General features: G+C 41.3%; 4 annotated features.

The window, feature by feature from the left end:
- Positions 9,108-10,307: an enhancer, noted in NCBI's record as "P300/CBP strongly-dependent group 1 enhancer chr16:52846552-52847751 (GRCh37/hg19 assembly coordinates)". NCBI's record gives its function as "activates an origin of replication core promoter dependent on BRD2, BRD4, P300/CBP, MED14 and CDK7 cofactors, with strong dependence on P300/CBP, by STARR-seq in HCT116 cells {active_cell/tissue: HCT116}" and the evidence as "EXISTENCE:reporter gene assay evidence [ECO:0000049][PMID:35650434]".
- Positions 9,108-10,510: a biological region, named in NCBI's record as "P300/CBP strongly-dependent group 1 enhancer GRCh37_chr16:52846552-52847751".
- Positions 9,509-10,008: an enhancer, noted in NCBI's record as "H3K27ac hESC enhancer chr16:52846851-52847350 (GRCh37/hg19 assembly coordinates)". NCBI's record gives its function as "activates a minimal SCP1, AML or CMV promoter by ChIP-STARR-seq in naive H9 embryonic stem cells {active_cell/tissue: H9 hESC(naive)}" and the evidence as "EXISTENCE:reporter gene assay evidence [ECO:0000049][PMID:30033119]".
- Positions 10,009-10,510: an enhancer, noted in NCBI's record as "H3K27ac hESC enhancer chr16:52846349-52846850 (GRCh37/hg19 assembly coordinates)". NCBI's record gives its function as "activates a minimal SCP1, AML or CMV promoter by ChIP-STARR-seq in naive H9 embryonic stem cells {active_cell/tissue: H9 hESC(naive)}" and the evidence as "EXISTENCE:reporter gene assay evidence [ECO:0000049][PMID:30033119]".

Below are 22,982 nucleotides of genomic sequence, written 5' to 3'. Positions count from 1 at the left end.
TTCTCTTGAACTGTTTTATGGAACTGCTATGAAACAGGATTTCCATATTGTGTCTCTGGAAATTCTATAATTCTTTCCCTTGAATTCCTGCTCAGGACTCCATAAAATTTGGTTGAATGTAGTTAGATGAATTTTTGTTCAGCATCAGGACTTTTCTTGTAGAGAAATTTTCTGGAGAGTGGGAAGAGAAGCTGTCTCAGTAAAATGCCCAGTTTGTGCCTTGATATTCCTAGAAGCAGTTTAGTTCTGGAAAATGTGCAGTACTCCTAACAATGGCTATTCTAGAACTTGTATGACCAAAACAGTTCTTATGTAAAAGTCCCCAAAGAATAAGTTGACTGGGGTTCCTTAAATGGTACTCTTCCTTGGAGGCAATGATTCTCCTAAGGACTTTTATACTTTAACATTTTAAAAGCACAAAATCAGAAATATCAGGCATTTGAGATGCTCCAATATCTAGGGATGTACACTAGCTTGCCTTTCTTTAGATATCTAATTACAAAATCAGATTTGAGGAAGAACTTCTTTCTCCAAGCCTGAGAGTTCGTTTGGGTCATGTAGGGAAATGTTAACACAGTAGAAGCGAAAGAGTTCATTTAACAGGATCCTTCCCCAGTCCCTCTCATATTTGCCACTTCTGCCGTATAATAAATGCATGTGACTTCTTTTTGGCCTTAGAGAATGTTTCAGGCAGACCATCTGAGTTATTTTAATGTCTTCTCTTTATTGTAGTGTTTCAAGAAATGTCATTATCACATTCCTGTCTTAAGACAAGGAAGTGAAGCCAAATGATAATGGCTAACACCACTTGTCACTTTTGGGAAACTTGTTGAGGTAGCCAAAGTGAGGTACTAAACAGCTATTTAAAGTTAAGTACTAAAATCCTCTGACACTGTCCAGGATTTGATTTTTATTATTTCAGATTAGAAGAACGTTTCAAACCATTTCTAAACACTCAGCTCTGAGTGATGCTTTTGCTGTTTCTCTGGGCTTCTGTATTTTTAAAGAATCCTACTGCATCTCTCCTGCTTTTCATAGCTAAGACTTTTCTCAGGCCCTGATGATGAGAAAGATATTGCTGGAACAGGAGTGTATGTGTATGTGTATGTGTATGTGTGTGCATGTGTGTGTGTTTGCATGTAAATTATGTGCCTTTGTTTTAATGAAAGCAAATCAGTTGCATATTGGCCACTGGGCTGCTATATATTATTTTTGTCTCTTTTACAGATCGTGTTGCAACCCGATTTAAAATTGAGCTACAGATTTCTCCCCGTATTTTGAGTAGCGTATGAAATGAAAACTACTCTCTCTCCAATACCTTCCATGGCTCCCAGCACTTTTTGTTTTCTATTCTTGTTTCTTATTCTATTCCTGCAAAGACAGTGTAGCTTCAGCTACAAAAACACCCCTGTTCAGGCCGAGGCGGGCGGATCACGAGGTCAGGAGTTCGAGACCAGCCTGACCAACATGGTGAAACCCCGTCTCTACTAAAAATACAAAAATCATCCGGGCGTGGTGGCACACACCTGTAATCCCAGCTACTTGGGAGGCTGAGGCAGGAGAATCACTTGAATCTGGGAGGCAGAGGTTGCAGTGAGCCAAGATCATGCCATTGCACTCCAGCCTTGGTGACAGAGGGAGACTCCGTCTCAACAAAACAAAACAAAACAATACAAAAAACACCTCTGGTCCGCCCTTTCTGTGTTCCTCCATGCCATGTTGCATACTGGATTCTGATATTCTGAATGGATGGGAAGAAAAGCTGATGGAGAGAAGCTTGGGGCTCTACTTAGGAATGTCAGAGATGGCAAAATGGCTGTTTTTCTATCAGTTCAACCCTTGCGTCTTATAGTTGGGCCATAGGTAGTGAAAGGGAGTTAAAACATCTCTTACCTTATTTGAGCTAACCCTTTCCTTTTGGTTAGAGTATATATGTGTTTCTACATCAGTCTCAATGATAGAGCGAGAATCGATTCTCCCTGTCTTTAGGTCTTTTTATTTATTTTTTCAATCTTTGGTTTACAGTGTTGTAGATACCCTAGGACTTTTGTGGGCATTTTATTGGGAGGCTCAGAGTAGGAGTGTCAGTCAGCAATCTTGAAGCTTGAAAGTCCATGGAAAGAAAGTAACATTTTCCACAGGGATATGTGATGTCCCATTCTACCTAAGACTCTGCTGCAGAGAAGACTGTGTCGGGAAATCAGAATTGAAATGAGATAAAGGCCAGGTGCGGTGGCTCACGACTGTAATCCCAGCACTTTGGGAGGCTGAGGTGGGCGGATCACCTGAGGTCAGGAGTTCGAGACCAGCCTGGCCAACATGGTGAAACCTCATCTCCACTAAAAATACAAAAAGTAGCCAGGCATCGTGGCGGGTGCCTGTAATCCCAGCTATTCAGGAGGCTGAAGCAGGAGAATCACTTGAACCCGAGAAGCGGAGGTTGCAGTGAGCCGAGATTGCACCACTGCACTCCAGCCTGGGCAACAAGAGCAAAATTCCATCTCAAAAAAAAAAAAAAAAAAAAAAAAAGAGAGAGAGAAATATAGTATTAAGGATAACTTAGAGAGAAACTTTGTACATTAAGACAAAGAACAGTTTTCTTATAGTTCAACATTGTTTTAACTCAAAGTTTGAATTACAGATAGATGTCACTTCTTTCAAATGTCCCTGATTTTTAAGGACTCTCCTGATTGTTCATTCAGTTTTTTTTTTTTTGTATCTCTCTCTCTCTGTCTGCAGTGTTCCTCATTAAAAATCAGGTTTTGAGAAATGATGGGAGAGTTTAAAAGTTTAAAGTACATTCAGAAGTGCTCAAATATTTCACAGTCTGAGTCTTTATTTCTCCCATCTCTAAAAGTGCCTCTAATTGTGGCCCTTTGTTCCTGTTTTCTTTTTTTTGTTCAAAGACTGGCCCCCCTACACAAAGCCCGTGAGGCCTGCCCCCAGCTTGTGCAGGGAGAGGCGCTCCCAGGCTGGTGGCCTGCAAGAGCTCCAGGTGGAATGCGTGATATGAAATGATCAATCATGAGACCATTTTTGCTGTCATTAAAACCTCTTTGTGAATGATCACTGTTCTTTCTTCACATGAGATAAAAATTAAAGACAGGTTGAATAAAAAATAATTGCTCTCCATTTCCAAAGAGGAGAAATGTCTCCGACGAAGGGAAGGGAGAAAACTTTCTCAAAAAAGTCAACCTTTCATTGAAAAGCACTTTAATTTTCCTCAGATATTCCAATACGTTATTTCCCACCTTCCCTCCAGGAGAGGATTAAACAAACCACTTTTTTTTTTTGAGTGTTCCAATCAAGGTCCTGTTTCCTAGATAATGCAGCCTTCTCTGTGCCTCTCCACATGGACGGATCATCTGGACCGTGCACTGCCTATGTCACGGTGAAGCAGGGCAAAGGCAGATTCCAGAGTTTTCTTAGCCAAATAAGGAGACAAGAGCTCACAACTGTAGTCACTTGCACACACCATCACATAGCACCCCATAACCAGAGTGGGCCTCAAAACAAAAGGGCGAGGCCACAGTGTTCCTCTTATAAATTAAGAATTAGGGCCAGGCACAGTGGTTCATGCCTGTAATCCTAGCACTTTGAAAGGCCGAGATGGGAGGATTGCCTGAAGCCAGTGTTTGAGATAAGCCTGGACAACATAGCAAGACCCCATCTCTACAAAATAAGTAAAATCCAAAAACAAATTTTGTTGGGAGGAGGAATTGTCACCTTAAAGCTAACACAGCAGCAGAGTTTGAGACTGATTTGGAACATAATGGCAAAATAGAGTGAAACAATTTGATTATGCCTGATTTAAGTGGGGTCTAAATTTTCTTTTCTTTTCTTTGAGTCTTAGATTTCTGCTGTGGGTGAGGATTTGCCTTGAAAGGAATGATCTGGTTGAGAGGTGAGGGAGCTGAGGGAAGAGGCATCTCCCTAGGTCTCAGGAAAGGGACTTCTGAACCTCAGTTCTTCCATCCGTTAAATGGAAGAGTTGGAGCATGTGCCCTTTCCTCTAACTAGCTTTGATGCAAAATGTGATTTTTCAATGGAAGGTTATCAAAGTAGTTCAAAAGCCATAGCATAGGGGTCTTCACACAGAATCCAAATCCCTAAAAACAAGTTTTTTTGCCACCAAAATGTCTGTGTGAATGATTACTATCTTTTCTTCACGTGAGATAAAATATTAAAATTTCTTCATTGTGAGTTTAAATAGATAAACACATTGAAATAAGATTGGAAAATAGAAAAATGGGAGTTTAGAAACACATGTGTGTAATCTTGCCCCCATAGACAACTATCAGCATCTTCACATATTTCTGCTAAGACTTTCCCTGTGTATCAAGTGTCATATATAATTGTATTATCCGGTTTTAAGGTATTTTATGTCTTGGATTTTCTCTTAACATTAGAATGATTCTCCATAGTTGTGCATATTCTTCCCAATCTTCTTCTTCTTTTTTTTTTTTTTTGAGACACAGTCTTACTCTGTTGCCCAGACTGGAGTGCAGTGGTGCGATCTCGGCTGTCTGCAAACTCTGCCTCCTGAGTTCAAGTGATTCTCTTGCCTCAGCCTCCCAAGTAGCTGGGACTACAGGCATGTGCCACTATGCCCAGCTAATTTTTGTATTTTTGATAGAGACAGGTTTTCACCATGTTGGCCAGGCTGGTCTTAAACTTCTGACCTCAAGCGATCCACCCACCTCAGCCTCCCAAAGTGCTGGGATTACAGGCGTGAGCCACTGTGCTCCCTCCAAAACTTCTCTTTAATAGCTGAGCAGATATGGTTAATTGTTTGCCCATTGCTGGGAAATTTATTTCAATTTTGCTTTTATAAGTAATATTACAATAGGTAATTTCTTTATTCCTATGAAATCTGATCTTCCTCCAAGTCAATTTCACTTTGAAAAAATATAATTGTTTTGTTGGCTCAGGACTCTGGCTTACCCCATGTTACACAAACTGTTTTATCTCTGTGTTTACAGTTACTTGCGACGATGTTTGTAAAATACTTACGGATTTGTTTGTGCAATTAATTAGATCTTCTGGTCACTTGAAAGAGCTAACTGGGCACACTTGGATAGGAGAGGCTTGAAGTAGGATTGTGTTTGAAGAGAGCAATATGGAATATGCTGTGTGTCATAAACTCTTATGTTGTAGAAAGGAGGTATGTCACCAGCTTTCTCTCATCACCACTGTCCTCAGTGTCACCCCCTGGGATCCGGGTCCGTAACTTGTGGTAGACGAGATAACAAATGACCAATACCAGTGTCTTTCATGCTACTCTTCAGCCTGCAACAGTTCCTTGCCATTAATATAACCACTGAAGAGTGTTAAATTTCTTAGTGCTGTGAAAATTGGTACTAAAAGAAGTACTTTAAAAAAGAAACGGGAGCTTAAGAGCTATAATAAAAGAATAACCCTTAAAGCAAGTCAATTGGAAAGCATAATGAAGTTGATAGTGGTCTTTTTAGTTTAGTCATGAATTTGTTAGAGAAAAAATGACTTTTCTGAAAACCACCATCTGTGCCATAAGTGGATCCATTAACACTGCTAAAGACACCAAGAAGGTTATGCTTGCTGCCACCACAGTTCCCTCCCATTGCATTTTAATTTTATTGCATTTTCTGTTCAGGTTTTCCCTGGTCTCGTCCACTTGGCCATACCAGAAGGCTTTCGTTCCTCCCTAATGCACTGTGATCCTCGGGGTGAACTTTGCCTCCTGAATCAAAAGTCCCCTGTGTTACTGAGACCTCCACGTGTTGACAGGCCTGGTGAGTGGCCTGCGGCTTTAACAGCTTCATCTGCTTAGTACTGCTGTATGTCAAGTGCTATTACACTGGCATCTAAGGGACAGGCAGAAGTTTTTGGATGAAGTTATCTCTTGACATATTAAGTTCAGGTTTACCCTCATTTACTCATAGCGATGTTCTTAAACTTCCACACAAAGAAAAATCTATTGTAAATCTGTTAGACTCTTTAAATACATTTTTTTTTCAGGTAGGAATATTCTTTTTTGAAATGCAAACACTCACCCTTCAATTGATCTATCTCGAAAAACATTTTAAAAATTGAAGCTCATGTCAAACTATCATGTAGTAGAAGTGCACAGTAGTTGCAAAATAAATAATCTTCTCATCATTTTGAATTATTATTATAAACTACATAGCAGTATGCACACATGTATTATACCTCATTCAACCAACAATTATTAAGCACCTACTATATATACTTGGCACTTGCTAGGGGCTGGGTATGTGATTTCAGATCTGGAAATATTGTCTAAGGATTTCATGTACCTCCTCAACTAAATTTCAAGCTTCTTGAGGACAGAGATTGGGTCCTGACTTCCTTTTTCGCCTCATAGAGAATGTAAAACACGTGGAAGAATTTCTTAGCAAATGCCAAATGAAAGAATGAAAAAAAAATGAAATCATATTAAACGTCTATTGCTTAACAAAATGGGCTCATACATGAGATTTGGAATTCTCTTTATGAATGAATTCCAAGTCCCATGTCTATTAGAAGGGGATATGATGTGTTTCTTTTCTTTGCTATGCTTAAAGTCCTTTGATAGTGGATGGCAGAGAATGGAGACTAGAGACTCTTTAAAATAAGAGATAGGGGAAAAAATATTTCTATGAAGATGGAAAAGGACTTTTGCAGCTTCTTATTCAATCTTTTCTTCTACAGCTGTGTGAAATGAAGCTTTGTGAGCTTGAGGGATTTGCTCAAACTTGTCCAGTGTTTTAGTGGCAGCGGCAATGCTGGAAGTGGAATCCCCATTCTGGAATTCCTTTTTTTTTTTGAGACAGAATCTGTCATCCAGGCTGGAGTGAAGTGGCATGATCTTGGCTCACTGCAACCTCTGCCTCCTGGGTTTAAGCAATTCTCCTCCCTCAGCCTCAGAGTAGCTGGGAATACAGGCACACACCCACCATGTCTGGCTAATTTTTGTATTTTTAGTAGAGACGGGGTTTCACCATGTTGACCAGGCTTCTCTTGAACTTCTGACCTCAAGTGATCTGCCCACCTTGGCCTCCCAAACTGCTGGGATTACAGGCGTGAGCCTGGCCCCCTATTCTGGGATTCTTAATTCTTCCCATCATGTCTTACTTTTTAGTTAACACTGGGTAATACTACTTATGCCTTGGTTGGGATTTCTAAGTTATAAGCAACAGAACTTGGGTCTGATCACCATAAGCCAAAAAGGATGTTCTTGGAAGGATATGGATTGGTTCACAAAATTCAAGGAAGAGTTGGAGAATAAGATCTCTGAAAAAACTGTCACCAGAATTCCTCCTTGGTTCTGGAGAGTAGGTCCCTTCTGGTGCCACCATCAGAAGAAATCAGCACCAAGAGTTTTTCAGTCTTGGTGTTACTGTATTAAAAATTCAAATTAGACCTTTGATTGGTCTAGCTTGGGTCATGTGCACACTCCTTGGGAAGGGGAGGGTGGGACTCTCTGATTGACAGTCACAATAAGATTGTATACATTGGGATTTGCAAATCAAAATTAGGTGCTGTTACCAGGGGAGGGAGAATGGATGCAGTGTTGGCAAAAACCTACAGAGCTCCAGCATAGCTCTTGAACAAATGATCCTATTTGTTCAAGAAAGCAAGTCTTTTGTCTTTTTTTTTTTTTTTTGAGATGGAGTCTGACTCTGTCGCCTAGGCTGGAGTGCAGTGGTGCGATCTCAGCTCACTGCAAGCCCTGCCTCCCAGGTTCACGCCATTCTCCTGCCTCAGCCTCCCAAGTAGCTGGGATTACAGGCGCCCGCCACCACGCCCAGCTAATTTTTTGGTAATTTTTAGTAGAGATGGGGTTTCATCATGTTAGCCAGGATGGTCTCGATCTCTTGACCTCGTGATCTGCCCGCCTTGGCCTCTCAAAGGGCTGGGATTACAGGCATGAGTCACCGCGCCCAGCCAAGAAAGCAAGTCTTATAAGTATACAGACATTACGTTCTTCAGATAATTAGTCTTCTGTTCATGCCTGTAATTCTATTTCTGAGCCCTGTACTCACAGCACGCTTCTACTTTACAGAGATCTCTAAAGGGAGATATCTCATCACCCTTCTGTTTTACTTCAACGTTTCTCCTTCCTTTCAAGTTTCCTTCTCTTTGAAGTCTATAACTCTTCACATACATTCTAGGTGCTATCATCATCCACCTCTTCTGGGGGCCTTGCTGCCAAAATTCCTTCTCTGCTGACCCAGCACCTCCATGATTCCGTGGTGTCAGTGGTGTTCTGTCTATACCTTTGGGTGTGACATGAGACTAAACTGCCTCCTGAATTCCATCATGTATTTCCAGCATTGACCTAGGGATCTATGAGGGCTAGAAGGAGAGAGAGTCTGGAGACAATTCCTACAGGAGAAGTCAAAAGATGGTGAAGCCTTCAAAAGATGGGAGAGCCAAGCATAAAGGACTTGAAACTGTAAAGGAAGGGAATGTAGAGCAAAGCCAGGTATCATGGAGAAAATAGTGTGGGACTAGTTTTGGAGGCTTTTGGAAAATCCTTACCAGATTGGTTTGGATTTATTAAATATGCTGGCTTGCACCTTCTGATGAGCTAATGGTGCCCCTCCCTGTCTGAGGCCTCCACCTAGATGACCTGGCTTAGGCTCAACAAGACTAAATATCATCTTCCCTAATCACTCCGTGCTTATGCCAGATGTTTGTCTCATTGTTTCTCATTGTTGCTCATCTAGCTACAACCAATGGATCTTTCTCTTTAGGAGAGCTTAGCAAGGCTCCAAAAGAGGTGAGGCAGAGTAGTTATAAATAATTGACATGGGGCAACTCATTGAACTTTTGTTCTGCTTTGAATATCCATTCTGCTTTTTTTCCTTTAACTTTTATTTTAAGTTCTGGGGTATATGTGCAGGACGTGCGTGCTTGTCACATAGGTAAACATGTGCCATGGTGGTTTGCTGCATAGATCAACCCATCACCTAGGTATTAAGTCCCGCATGCATTAGCTATTCTTCCTGATGCTCTCGTTCCCACTAACCTCACCCCCCACAGGCCCCAGTGTGTGTTGTTCCCCTCCCTAAGTCCATGTGTTCTCATTGTTCAGCTCCCACTTCTAAGTGAAAACATGCAGTGTTTGGTTTTCTGTTCCTGTGTTCGCTGGGGATAATGGTTTCCAGCTGCATCCATGTCCCTGCAAAGGACACGATCTCATTCTTTTTTATGGCCACATAGTACTTCATGGCATATATGTACCAAATTTTCTTTATCTAGTCTATCATTGATGGGCATTTGGGTTGATTCCATGTTTTCACTATTGTGAATTGTGCTGTAATGAACATATACGTGCATGTATCTTTATAATAGAATGATTTATATACCTTCGGGTATCTACCCAGTAATGGAATTGCTGGATTGAGTGGTATTTCTGCCTCTAGATTTTTGATGAACTGCCACACTCTCTTCCACAATAGTTGAACTAATTTATACTCCCACCAACTGTGTAAAAGCGTTCTTTTTTCTCTGCAACCTTGCCAGCATCCGTTGTTTCCGGACTCTTTAATAATCACCATTCTGACTGGGAATATGCCCCTTTGACACAAATTCCTCTGTCATGACTCACACTACAGATGAGTCATTTCCTCTGGAACCTTGTGACTTAGCTATTGACAACTTAGAATCTCTTATTTCCCTTAGTCCTAATTTGGCTTGTCAACAATAGTCATAGTCCCTATTAAAGGAAAACGTTGAATGAAACATCTAATTCTCAGGTGACTGATGACAGATGACCAAGTTCCAGTACCCATAGCTGCTTTCTAGAAAAGTTGGAATTTACCAGATGTGACACTTTTAGTGGACCCACCATCATCTCAGTCACCATGATTAAAAATGTATTGCTCAGAGCATGCTTGGTTGTAACTAATAGAGACCTACTAAATTAGCTAAGTGACTGGTTTATTGTAAAGATGCATGAAAGTCTCAAAGAAACAGTTAGTTGGGCTTCTTGGGAGGTGCAACATCTTCAGGCAATGCTCTTTTGCTCTACTTTTTCTTTCCTGGTTGCATGCTCTCCTGTTGTTGAGGAGTCTCTGCGTCATTAATCTCTTCATGCCTTCCCATAACAGTAGCTTGTGTGTGGTTTGGGACTGCTATGGCTCAGAGACTCAGCCCTGATTCTCTCTGAATTTTACATCTCCAACTTGGTTTCTATCCTTCAAATGCTTCAGTTAGACAACTGATGACCTCTGATGTCCAACCCTGGAATAATTAGCTGCTGTCAGGGATCAGGGTTATCTGGTACCCCCCATGGTGACTGAGGCCCTCTCCTTCTGCAGAGTGGGTGCAGAGGGCTGTCCAAAGACATGGTTGTGACAGGTATGCTCCAAGCATGTCTACTCGAATCCTTCCTTGCCAAGATGTCCCTCTTCCTTTATCCCATATCTTGCTTCTGGCTATCAAGCACTGCACTTTAGTCTGAATTAATGATTTGGACTGTGATATGCAGGGTCTTAAGTGGATGCCTCCATCGGGTGTAATGCACCTGGCCTTGCAGAGATGGAAGACTTGGCATCTTTAAACCAATGGGAAGGGACTGTCAGGAAGTCTGCGTCTGTCTCTGTGAGAAATAGCATTGGAAATCCATGAAGATACATTGCTGAAACCCGACAGCAAAATACTTAATATAGTTACTAGCTGTGCTAACTGATTTAATGAACAGGGAACATAACAAATGAGTGTGTTTACCTAGTTAACTTCTGAAAATGAATATCTGTAATTAAAGCGGCTCACAACTGACAGGCAAACAGGAAATTATTGTTATTATTATACACAAATCATCTTAAAATACCAGAACTTAATAAATAGAGGAAAAAACAAACAATGGCTAAAACTGTCTGCTAAATAAAAAATAATGATGAACACCTGTGGTCTTTTTATAGGACTCCAGTGGAGATTTTTTTTTATTGAAGACCTAATTACGTTTTTGTAATGCTACCATTTCATTATTTCCCTGTAGCGTTATTAAAAGAAAATGTCCATATTTTCTCTGTGTAAAAGGTCTGGCACATAGATTCAGGCATGGGGTTTTCTTAATGCTACGGATACTGTGACAGTTTTAGCGATGTATTTGGCAAAGAACGTAGGCCTTGGCGAGGTGGGATTTTTCTTTTTGGCAATACCAGAGCCTGGCCAGGGGACAAGGGTGACATGGACCTTCTTCAGACAGACTCTGCCTGCAAGTAACCAAGAGCCATGTCGTTAAACGTGTACAACAGCCAGCTCTGCAGTTAACCTTTGTCTTGAATCCCATCTTTGCCCCTTCCTAGCAATGTGTCCTCTGGCAAGTTACTGAAACACTCTGTGCCTCAGTTTTCCCATTTGTAAAATGAGAATACATGTCTCAGGATTGTTCTTTGAACTAATATGTGGACTTATTATGCTTGGCACATCATAGATGCCAGTAAATGTTAGTTACTATTATTAGGTTGGTGCAAAAGTAATTGTGGTTTTTAAAAGTAATGGCATTAAAAGTAAAGGTAAAAACCACAATTACTTCTGCACCCACCTAATATTTTACCTGCAAGTAATGGTTCTCCATGTGCTTTCTTTAACCGAGTAGGTCCTAGGAGTGAATATGCGAATGCCCCGTCCATATAGTCAGTGACTGCTAGCAGCATCATGAGTTATCCAGATCTGCAGAATTGAGAGTTTATTTTCTTTATGGCACAAAACACCATTCAAAAATATCTTGCCTACCCATGGCCTGCCTCTTTCACTAACATGTAAGCTTAGAAGAGGAAGAATATTTGGGCTATGTTGCACAATTCTAGGTGGTGCTATTCACATTGTCATGTTACTCTTCTGTGCTGCCAGGCTGCCTTTCACACTATATGTAGTGTGCATGGTACCTCCAGAGGTGTGTAACACAGTGGTCTTGAATGGGACCTCAAATTGAGTTCAAAATCGACATCACTCCCTTACCAATCTTTCTTCTCCACCATCATTCTCATCTTCGCCAGTGGCAGCTCTGTATGTCCCATTGCCCCAAGTAGGAACCCTGGAAAACTGATGGTTTGGTATCATAAATATCTTAACTTCTTTCTTCCATTTTTGCACCCTTGTTAGCCCCCTGGCTCCAGAAGCTCTACTAAACCTAAATACATGCACTTTTAATTTGTCAATCATACCTCAATGAAGCTAGAAAAAAACACCCAATCTCTATATCAAGTCATATCAATCCCCTGCTTGATGTCCTCCAGTGACTTCCCTTGTACACAGCATAACATTAACATTCTTCATCACAGCCTCAAAGGTCTTATCTTGTGCCACACTCTCTTGATCATACAAGCACACCAGTTGAAAACATAGAGTCCCTGTGCCATCAACATCACCCAAGAACTTGTTAGAGAGGCAAATTATTGGGCCCGAACTAGATCCATCAAATAAAAAGCTCTGGGGGTGAGGCACAGCCATCTGTGTCTTAAGAAGCCTTCCAGGTGATTTTGATACTGGTTGTGTATCCTCACTGCACTGGTGCTTTCTGTTTCTCAGACCCAGGAGATGTCCCTCCACCTGCAATGCTCTTTCCCAGATCTCCCCATGATTGATGGGACCAGCTCTGTTGCATTACTCATATTTCTGTTCAAAAGTCATTTTTTCCAGAAAGGCCATTCCCTATCACCCCATGTGTGATGGTTAATACTGAGTGTCACCTTGGTTGGATTGAAGTGTGCAAAATATTGTTCCTGGGTGTGTCTGTGAGGGTATTGCCAAAGGAGATTAACTTTTGAGTCAGTGGACTGGGAAAGGCAGACCACCCTTTATGCAGGTGGGCACAATCTAATCTGCTGCCAGAGTGGCTAGAATAAAAAGCAGGCAGAAGAACATGAAGACTAGACTTGCTTAGCCCCCCAGCCTACATCTTTCTCCTGTGCTGGATGCTTCCTGCCCCAAAGATCAGGTTCCATGTTCTTCAGCCTTGGGACTCGTACTGGCTTCCATGCTCCTCAGCTTGCAGACAGCCTATTGTGGGACCTTGTGATCGTGTGAGTTAATACTCCTTAATAAACTCCTCTTTATATATACCTCTATCCTATTAGTTCTATCCCTCTAGAGAACCCCAATACACCATCCAAACTCCCCTTTGCTCCTGCTGTTGCTCTTGTTACTCTTTCAGATGTCCAGGTTTTATTTTCTTTATAGTACCGGCCACTATTTGAAATTATCCTGCTTGCCCGTTTGTCTGTGTCCTCCCATGAGAATGTCACCTCCATGAAGACACAGGCACCTTCTCTGTTTTTTGCTTCTGACTGTGTTCACAGCACCTAGAAGAGTGCCTGGCACACAATAGGTACTCAACTGGTGAGTAAGTGGTTATACGAACATTTCGTTTTTTTAATTAGTTGAGAGGACTTTCATATTTCTTTTAGTTAGTCTCCCTTCCTTCTTTTTTATTTCAATGATTTTTGGGGAAAAGGTGGTTTTTGGTTACATGTATAAGTTCTTTAGTGGTGATTTCTGAGATTTTTGTACACCTGTCACCTAAGCAGTGTACTCTGTACTCAATATGTAGTCTTTTGATGGTTTTTTTTTTTTAGATGGAGTTTCGCTCTTGTTGCCCAGGCTGGAGTGCAATGGCACGATCTCGGCTCACCACAATCTCTGCCTCCCGGGTTCAAGTGATTCTCCTGCCTCAGCCTCTCGAGTAGCTGGGATTACAGGCATGTGCCACCACACCCAGCTAATTTTGTATTTTAGTAGAGATGGGGTTTCTCCATGTTGGTCAGGCTGGTCATGAACTCCTGACCTCAGGTGATCCGCCCGCCTCGGCCTCCCAAAGTTCTGGGATTACAGGCGTGAGCCACTGCGCCTGGCCTCTCAGTATGTAGTCTTTTGTTCCTCATCTGCCCCTTCCCTGCTGAGTCCCCAAAGTTTATTATATCATTCTTATGCCTTTGCATTCTCATAGCTTAGCTCCCACTTATGAGAACATATCATATTTGGCTTTCCATTTCTGAGTTACTTCACTTAGAATAATGGCCTCCAGCTCCATCCAAGTTGCTGCAAAAGACATTACTTCATCCTTTTTATGGCTGAGTAGTATTCCATGGTGTATATATTCCACATTTTCTTTATCCACTCATTAGTTGATGGGCACTTGGGTTGGTTCCATATCTTTGCAATTATGAATTGTGCTGCTACAAAAGCGTGTGCATGCGTCTTTTTCATAAAATGAGTTCTTTTCCTTTGGGTAGATAACCAGTAGTGAGATTGCTGGATTGAATTGTTGTTCTACTTTTAGTTCTTTAAGGTATCTCCACACTGTTTTCCATAGTGGTTGCATTAGTTTATATTCCCACCAGCAGTGTAAAAGTGTTCCCTCTTCACCACATCCATATAAGAACTTTTTTTTTTTTTTTTTTTTTATGGATTCCTGCTCTGTCACCAGGCTGAAATGCAGTGGCACGATCTTGGATCACTGCAACCTTTGCCTCCCAGGTTCAAGCTATTCTCCTGCCTCAGCCTCCTGAGTAGCTGGGACTACAGGAGTGGGCCACAATGCCCAGCTAATTTTTGTATTTTTAGTAGAGACAGGATTTCACCATGTTGGCCAGGATAGTCTCAATCTCTTGACCTCGTGATCCACCCACCTTGGGCTCCCAAAGTGCGGGGATTACAGGCATGAACCACCACACCCAGCCCATATAAGAGCATTTTAAAACGTATTTGTGACAGATGGAGTTATTGACCTTCACTCTTCACCTATTCCTGGCTCTAAATCCTTTGCCCCTGGACTCTACAACTCTTTCCACTGGAGAAAGAGCACACTTCTATGGTGCAATTCCAAGTAGTACTTTCATGAGGAAGACTGGACCAATGTGTGGTTTGGAGCTGAGCCCAGCCTAGATCAGCCAACTCCCAGCCAACCCTTAGATTGTGAGCAGGAAAAAAATCATTAATGTTTGAAGTCATAGGGTTTTAGGGTGTATGGTTAATGCATTATTGTGGGGCAATAGCTAATGCTACATGTACAGTCCATATCTTAGGTACCATCAGAATCTGGAAAAAGTGGTGATCAGTCTTGCTTGCATGACAAAAGTAGGAAAGATTTGAGAGGAAGTAATTTCTGAGCAAGTCTTTTGAGAGCTAAATATAAGATTACCTGGTAGATGAGAGGGGGAAGGGTATTTGAGCAAAAGGAAATATATGAACAGAGGTATTCATTAAAGTGCACGAAGCTTTTGGGAAAAAACAAGTAGCTCATTGGGTAGAAAGTATGTGGGGGAGCAACTCAAAATGAGTTTTGCAGAAAAAGTAATTATACCTTACGTTTGCAAAGAACACTCTGCTTGATGAACATTTTCACACACATTTATTTACTCACTGCTCGCAATATCCCTGAGGCAGTGCTCTGTAAAGCCTTCTTGAACCTTGGTTGGAATCTCAGCATCGTGGTCCCAACAACTCTCAGCTTCAGCTTTCTCATCCATAAAATAGCATTATTCTCAGGATTAAAGAGACGAAGTATGTTCAATGCCCGATGTGCAATAGGTGCTCAATTCTCTCCCACCGTCAGTTTTACATCTTAAGAACCTGAGGCTCAGGGTAAACAACTGCCCATATGTCACATTTTTACCAAGCAGGTTTGGGGCCATGATTCCCATGTCCAGGCTCTGCCCTTAAAGCCACAGCTTCATTTGGCAATAGTTGAGAGATGGTCCAAACTTCGAGGTGGAAAGAGAAAGAAGTCATCTTTTCTTTTTGTTATTTCTTTTCTCTTTCCTCAGCCATCCTGGAAACAGTGTCCCAGGGAAATGCAAAATCTGAATTACGTGGATCTTGAGCATTAACCAATTGCTCAAAGGCAGTAAGCAGGTTCTCAAAGAACTAAAAATAGAATTATCATTCAATGCAGCAATCCCACTACTGGATGTCAACCCAAAGGAAAATAAATTATTATTTTAAAAAAGATGGCCGTGCATGGTGGCTCACGCCTGTAATCCCAGCACTTTGACAGGCCAAGGTGGGTAGATCACCTGAGGTCAGGAGTTCGAGACCAGCCTGGCCAACCTGGTGAAATCCCATCTCTACTAAAAATACAAAAATTAGCTGGCCGTGGTGGAGGGAGCATGTAATCATGGCTACTCAGGAGGCGGAGGCAGGAGAATCACTTGAACTTGGGAGGCAGAGGTTGCAGTGAGCAGAGATCGTGCCATTGCACTACAGCCTGGGTGACAGAGTGAGACTCCATCTCAAAAAAAAAAAAAAAAAAAAAGACACAACAGTTGACTGGATAAAGTAATTGTGGTATATATACAGTACTATACAGTCATAAAAAAACAATGAAATCATGGCCTTTGCAGCAAAATGGATGAGCTGGAGGCCATTATCCTAAGTGAACGAATACCACATATTCTCACTTATAAATGGGAGCCAAACAATGGGTACACATGGACATAAAGATGGGAATATTTGGATATTGATATTGGACATTAAGGTCTCCAAAAGGGATGGAGGGAGGGGAGTGAGGGTTGAAAGATTACCCATAGGGAACAATGTTCAATGTTTGGGGGATGGGTACACTAGAAGCCCAAACCCCACCAGTATGCAATCTACTCATGTAACAAACATGTACGTGTACCCCTAATTCTAAAATAAAATAAAATAAAATAAAATAAAAAATATTTTTTAAAGGTGTTAAGCAGGAAAAGAGTATTTCAGTTGAAGATGCTCCTCTCCATTTCTCCCTTTTACCTGTCCCTCCCGGCCAAGTTCTTCTTCTGTGTCCTGTGGATGGATCGAACTTGGATCTCTCTGCCTCTCCCCAGACAACCCCATGCTACTTAGTCACCATCCTGGCCTACAAAGCCCCCTGCACCATCTGGCCTTTGTCTGCTTTTCCAGTTTCCTTTTTTGCCACTCTCCTTTTCCAGAACACTTTGACCCATGGCTTCCTTTTTGACTCTTGGGCATACCAGTCCCATCCAGCTTGAGGGCTTTTGTGCTTGCTCTCTGGCTGGAATGCTTTTCCCAAACTCTTCACCTGTTATCAGGAAATAAATCAAGTACATAACAACAGGCTCAATCTGGACTCACCTTTTTGTTTACTTGTCTCTTATGTGTTTCCATCTAATGGAATGTAAGGGTAAGTGCCTTGCCTGTCATATCTCTGCTATACCTTCAGTATCTGGTATATGACAGGCGCTCAAGAAGTGCTTGTTGACTGACTGTATGTAGGGACAAAGCCAACGACAGATACTGTGAGACTCTGCCAAGGGAGCAGGTAAAAAGCCGAGGGTAGGAGGAACCCTGAGGACCAGGCAGCCATGGTGGATTTTTTATCAGTTGCCTGTGGCTATGGGCTGTGCCAGGTCAGTGGTGATTAAAGACCCAGGTGGGAAAAGGATTCTAGCCTAGCTTTCCTGGTGTAGGCAGCACCTCTATGTGCAATCTTCCTTTGCACTCTTTCCTGACTTACATCAAACCACGTTCATCCTCTGTTTTATTCTTTTAGTGCTGTTCTCAATTTTTACAAGATTGAAACAAAGGTTGCCACAGAGGATGATGGGGATGTAAATTGTTGTAACTACTTTGGAAAACAATTTGGCACTATCTTGTAGAATTGCACATTTGCATATTCTACTATTTAGTATTCCACTCCTTGGTATGTGCCTTAGAGATATTGTTAGATGTATTCACTGGGAGACATAAAAGAATATTTAGAGCAACTAAAACTGCAAACAATCCAGATATCCATCATACAAGAATAGTTAAATGAATTGGGGTGTAGTCACACAATGGAATATTATGCAGCAAGTAAAATAAATGAATCACATTTGCATAGACCAACCATGAGTGAATCTTAGAAACATAAGATTGTTCCTCGAAATTCTATTTTGGTTTTGCTTCTTCTAATTTCAACTTTTGTTTTGATTTAGGGAGTTTCATGTGCAGGTTTGTTACATGTGTATATTGTGTCACACTGAAGTTTGGGGTATGAATGGTCCCATCACCCAAGTACTGAGCATAGCACACACTAGGTAGTTTTCCAGCCCTTTCCTCCCTCATTGTCTCCCCGTCTAGTAGTCCCTGGTGTCTATTGTTTCCATCTTTATGTCCATGTGTACCCAATGGTTAGCTCCCACTCATAAGTGAGAACATGTGGTATTTGGTTTTCTGTTCCAGTATTCATTTGCATAGAATTAGGACTTCCAGCTGCATCCATGTTGTTGCAGAGGACATGATTTTGTTCTTTTATGGCTGCACAGTATTCCATGATTAAACATAAGATTGAATGACAAGAGCAGGTCATTTGAGACATCATATGGTATGATGCCATTTTTAGAAAGTTCAAAGACAAGCAAAATTAAGCAATATGTTTAGGAAGACACACATGTAAAAACTGAAAAAAAAAAAAAAATGAAAAATCTTGCCATTAGAGGTGGCAGGGAACTGGGATAGGGAAGAATCTCTCAGGTAGTTACAATAGTGGAAAATATTGGGTATTGGGCTCACAGGTTTTCATTTTGTTGTATGCCTCATTGTTTGCATACAATATAATACATGCAATATAAATTAAATATTGCATAATAGATTAATAAAATTCCCCCAAATTGGGAGTCAAGAGGATTGATTGTTTCTTTAAATTTCCAAGGATCATAAAGTGAATCATCTATTTAATAAAATCTTGGGGTAGGGAGAAAAGTGGAAGAAATATTGGTTAGATTCAAGAAATTGTGGGCTATTAATGTATCTCTTTCTAGAGACTAAACTCTCAACCTTTGCTAACATGACACAAACCTAACAGCAATGCTGTGGGGAGCGCCCTGGGGATGCATTCGGGACAGATGATTCGGTGAGCATGTTTTATACCTCTATTTGTTCCTTGTCTTGGAATGTTAATATAAATTCAGAGAAAAAAAGTATTTCAGAAAATACGAAATATTATTTTAAGTTTTAAGAGTGGAGATGGGTAGGATTAAAGAAAAGAAGAAAAGAAGGTTGGCCTCTCTTGCAAAGGTCTCTTCTTCTCTTTCTTTCTTTCTTTCTTTCTTTCTTTCTTTCTTTCTTTCTTTCTTTCTTTCTTCCTTTCTTTCTTTCTCTTTCTTTCTTCTCTTTCTTTCTTTCTTTCTCTTTCTTTCTTCTCTTTCTTTCTTTCTCTTTCTTTCTTTCTTTCTTTCTTTCTTTCTTTCTTTCTTTCTCTTTCTTTCTTTTCTTTCTTTCTCCTTCCTTCCTCCCTTCCTTCTTTCTTTCTCACTCTCTCGTCTTTCCTTCCTTCTCTTCCTCCTACTCCTTCCTCTTCCTCCCCCTCCCCCTCCCCTTCCCCTTTCTTCTTCCTCCTCCTCCTCCTTCTTCCTCTTCGTCTTCTTCTTCTTCTTTTCTTCCCCTTCCTGTTCCTCTTCTTCTCCTTCTCCTTCTTTCTCTCTTTCTTTTTCAGGAGAACTCCACTTCTCCAAACCTCATTTATCCCATGACTCCTTTTCCTTCTGAGTCTGATCCAAGAGTTTAGCACTTGGATCAACATAACACTTGTCCAAGAGGTAAGTGTTGAAAAATAGGGGTCTATAATTAAAAAACGAAACAAAACAAAACAGATTCATGCATTGAAGCAGTTGTTCAAAATAATTTTATGTCTTACTAGAATTGATTGTGGGAAGTTTATTTTTTTTATTAATTTCTGTTATAATCCTAAGGCAAACAATAAAAAGTCCACATGCCATAAAGAGTTCTATGTATACCCTGAGCCCTTATGCCTAAAGAAAAGGGTTAATTAGAAACCATTGCTTCATGTTCTGTGATCACCTTTGGGGTTTGGACACACTGCACAAAGAAGAAATTGAGGTTGTGATGACTAAAAGGCAAGAAATCATAAGAAGTGGCAGGAGATAGTCCATTGAGGAGCTGGCTGTGGTGTATTTCACAGGTCTTGTTTTCTAAATTAAAGGAGAAGTTGAAGACATGGTCATAAATATAAGACAAAAGTCAATGACAATTCAATGAAAATCTTACCATCTTGCCCATAGAAAGAGCCCCCAATGCCTGAGCTAAATAAAACAAGGCAGTATTGGACACCCTGGGTCAGACACTATTATGTGAAAGTTCTCCTTTATAAGCACTCAGACTGTGCAGCAGAAGCTGGAACCCACATTGCATGTGGCAATTAGAATGTTAGAAAGGGGCGGGCAGACCTTATTGGACTCTGCGGGCTTGAGCCTAAAAAAGAAAAGCAAGGCTATACTGGGTCAAGGAATTTTTATTTTATTTTATTTTATTTTATTTATTTTATATCTTATTTTATTATATTATTTTATTTTATTTTAATTTTATTTTATATTTTGACAGAGTCTCGCTCTGTTTCCCAGGCTGGAGTGCAGTGCTGTGATCTCGGCTTACTGCAACCTCCACCTCCTGGGTTCAAGCGATTCTCCTGCCTCAGCCTCCCAAGTAGCCGGGATTCCAGGCATGCGCCATCACGCTCGGCTAATTTTTGTTTTGTTTTGTTTTGTTTTGAGATGGAGTCTCGCTGTGTCACCCAGGCTGGAGTACAAGTGGTGTGATATCGGCTCACTACAACCTCTGTCTACTGGGCTCAAGTGATTCTCCTGCCTCAGCTTCCCTAGTAGCTGGGATTACAGGTGACCACCACCATGCCCAGCTAATTTTAAAAATATTTTTAGTAGAGACAGGGTTTTACAAAGTTGGCCAGGCTGCTTTTGAACTACTGATCTCAGGTGATCTGCCTGCTGTGACCTCCCAAAATGCTGGGATTACAGGCATGAGCCACTGCACCCGGCTTAATTTTTCTATTTTTAGTAGAGACGGGGTTTTGCCATGTTGGCCAGGCTGGTCTCAAACTCCTGACCTCAGGTGATCTGCTCGCTTCAGCCTCCCAAAGTGCTGGGATTACAGGTGTAAGCCACCACGCCTGGCCTGGGTCAAGGAATTTTGAGGCAGGGGCTGTTAGGCTGATGAAAAGGGGTACTCTTTGAGCCCAAACAATTAGAGAATGGTCTAGGGTTTTTGAGTCAGCCCAAGGAGAAAGATGCCAATAATGTGGCAGGAATGAAGAGTTAAGTACTCTTAGAAGGGAACCGCCAGCAAGGGGTTAAAACCCAGGGTTTTGAAGTCAGGTATATGTTCAGGTCTGTGTAGACCACATAAGCCACAGTTTCCTCTTTTACAATGGGAATAGCAGTCTTTACCCTATGGAGTTGTTGATCAGATTGAATAAAACATTAAATGGAGAACACTTAGTATGGTGCTCACTCAGTACATGGGGCTGTCACTATGTAAGGAGTGTGAAATGGTGGAGGTGGTGAGAAATCATACTGATATTGGTGACACACCGTCTGGGATAATTTAGACTCTCAATCCTTTTCTACTTGAAAAGGAGGTTTTCTTTCCTAATTTATTCTGACCTAAAGAATTACACCCTTTTATGTAGGCAAAGTGTTATTTAGAGATTTCCAATATGCCACCTTGATTTTACTGTTTACATAGATGAAAAGTGGCTTTTGTAGATTTTCTTTTTGATGTACTATGATCTGTCAACATTTAATAAAAAAGACTTATTTTGAACAAGACAGCCCTTCAATTCAGTCAAACAACGAATTTGGCAGATTCTCTCCTCCCTCGACCAGGGTGACAGGCTGTTTCCCAACTGGATCTAATTGACTAAATGTTTTGGTACCTCGTTGACACAGACAAGTGATTTTTTTCTTTGTCATTTGCATGGAAAAAGGTACTGAGTCTGGAGAAATTGGGTGATTCTGATGAATTTAAACCATTGCTTTTGTGTTTGCTTTTTAATTTAATCCTTTGAGGGCTTAAGATCTGAAGTGGAGAGGGAGGAACTAGAAGAGATCAGAAAATAATCCCTGAAGGGTACTGGTTAATTAATTATCATGCTCAGGGATTGGGAGTTTTGGAGTAAAAAGTGTGGGTAGTTTAACCATGACTTGGAGCTTGGCTCTGAGGACTCATCCCTAGGAGGTGGGACAACCTACAGTACTTGTAAGGAAACCCTGCTTGTCTCTAATTTCTGCACCCGTTGCCTGTCTTCCACACGTAAAGTGGACATGTAATTTCTTTGGCCTCCCAGCTTTTATTCTGAATCCTTTAAGAAATAATTTCTTAATTTCCTTTTGGAGAATTGTCTGTCTCCAGTTTGGTGCAGTCTTCGTTGGATTTAAATCATGTCATTATTCGCTCTTCTCCTGTGGTCAAAAGGTGGGTCCCTTCTCTCCTGGGGCTTGAAATCCTAAGCATTTTAAGGGCAAAAAATGTATTAGGAGCTCATACATCACCGTGGTGGAGTCATGATAAGAGGATTATGTCATCCCTGCTACTCACACCCCTAGTCCTGCCTGGCTTTCTGCATTTTTCTAAGCTTGGTTGTCTAGTCTTCCCATTGATTCCTAACCCTTCCTTGTATTATTCTAATATATTCCTTTTCTGACTGAGCCAGATTCTATTTTTGTGATTTGTAAACAAAGATGGAGCTGTCACCATTGGTTAACCAGTCAGTAGACATTCTCTTTCTCGTAGTTCTGCTTAAAGATTTACCTCCCACAATAGAGGCTGACTATATATTCACTTTCATGGCATGTTTTGACGTTAGGTAGGGGTGACTTCATTAGCTTGCTAGAGTTGCTGTAACAAAGTACCACAGGCCGGTTGCAGTGGCTCATGCCTGTAGTCTCAGCATTTTGGGAGGCCAAGGTGGGTGGAACGCCTGAGATCAGGAGTTCAAGACCAGCCTGGCTGACATGGTGAAACCCCGTCTCTACTAAAAATACAAAAATTAGCTGGGCATGGTGGCAGGTGCCTGTAATCCCAGCTTCTCGGAGGCTGAGGCAGGAGAATTGCTTGAACCTGGGAGGCAGAGGTTGCAGTGAGGAGAGATTGTGCCATTACATTCCAGCCTGGGTGACAAGAGTGAGACGCTGTCTCCAGATAAATGAATACATAAATAAAGTACCACAAACTGGGTGCCTTAAACAAAAGGACAT

This window comes from Homo sapiens, chromosome 16, assembly GCF_000001405.40.
Source record: "Homo sapiens chromosome 16, GRCh38.p14 Primary Assembly".
Lineage (NCBI taxonomy): Eukaryota > Metazoa > Chordata > Mammalia > Primates > Hominidae > Homo > Homo sapiens.
The sequence above is the reverse complement of the archived record's forward strand: the minus strand, read 5'-3'. Positions and strand labels throughout refer to the sequence as shown.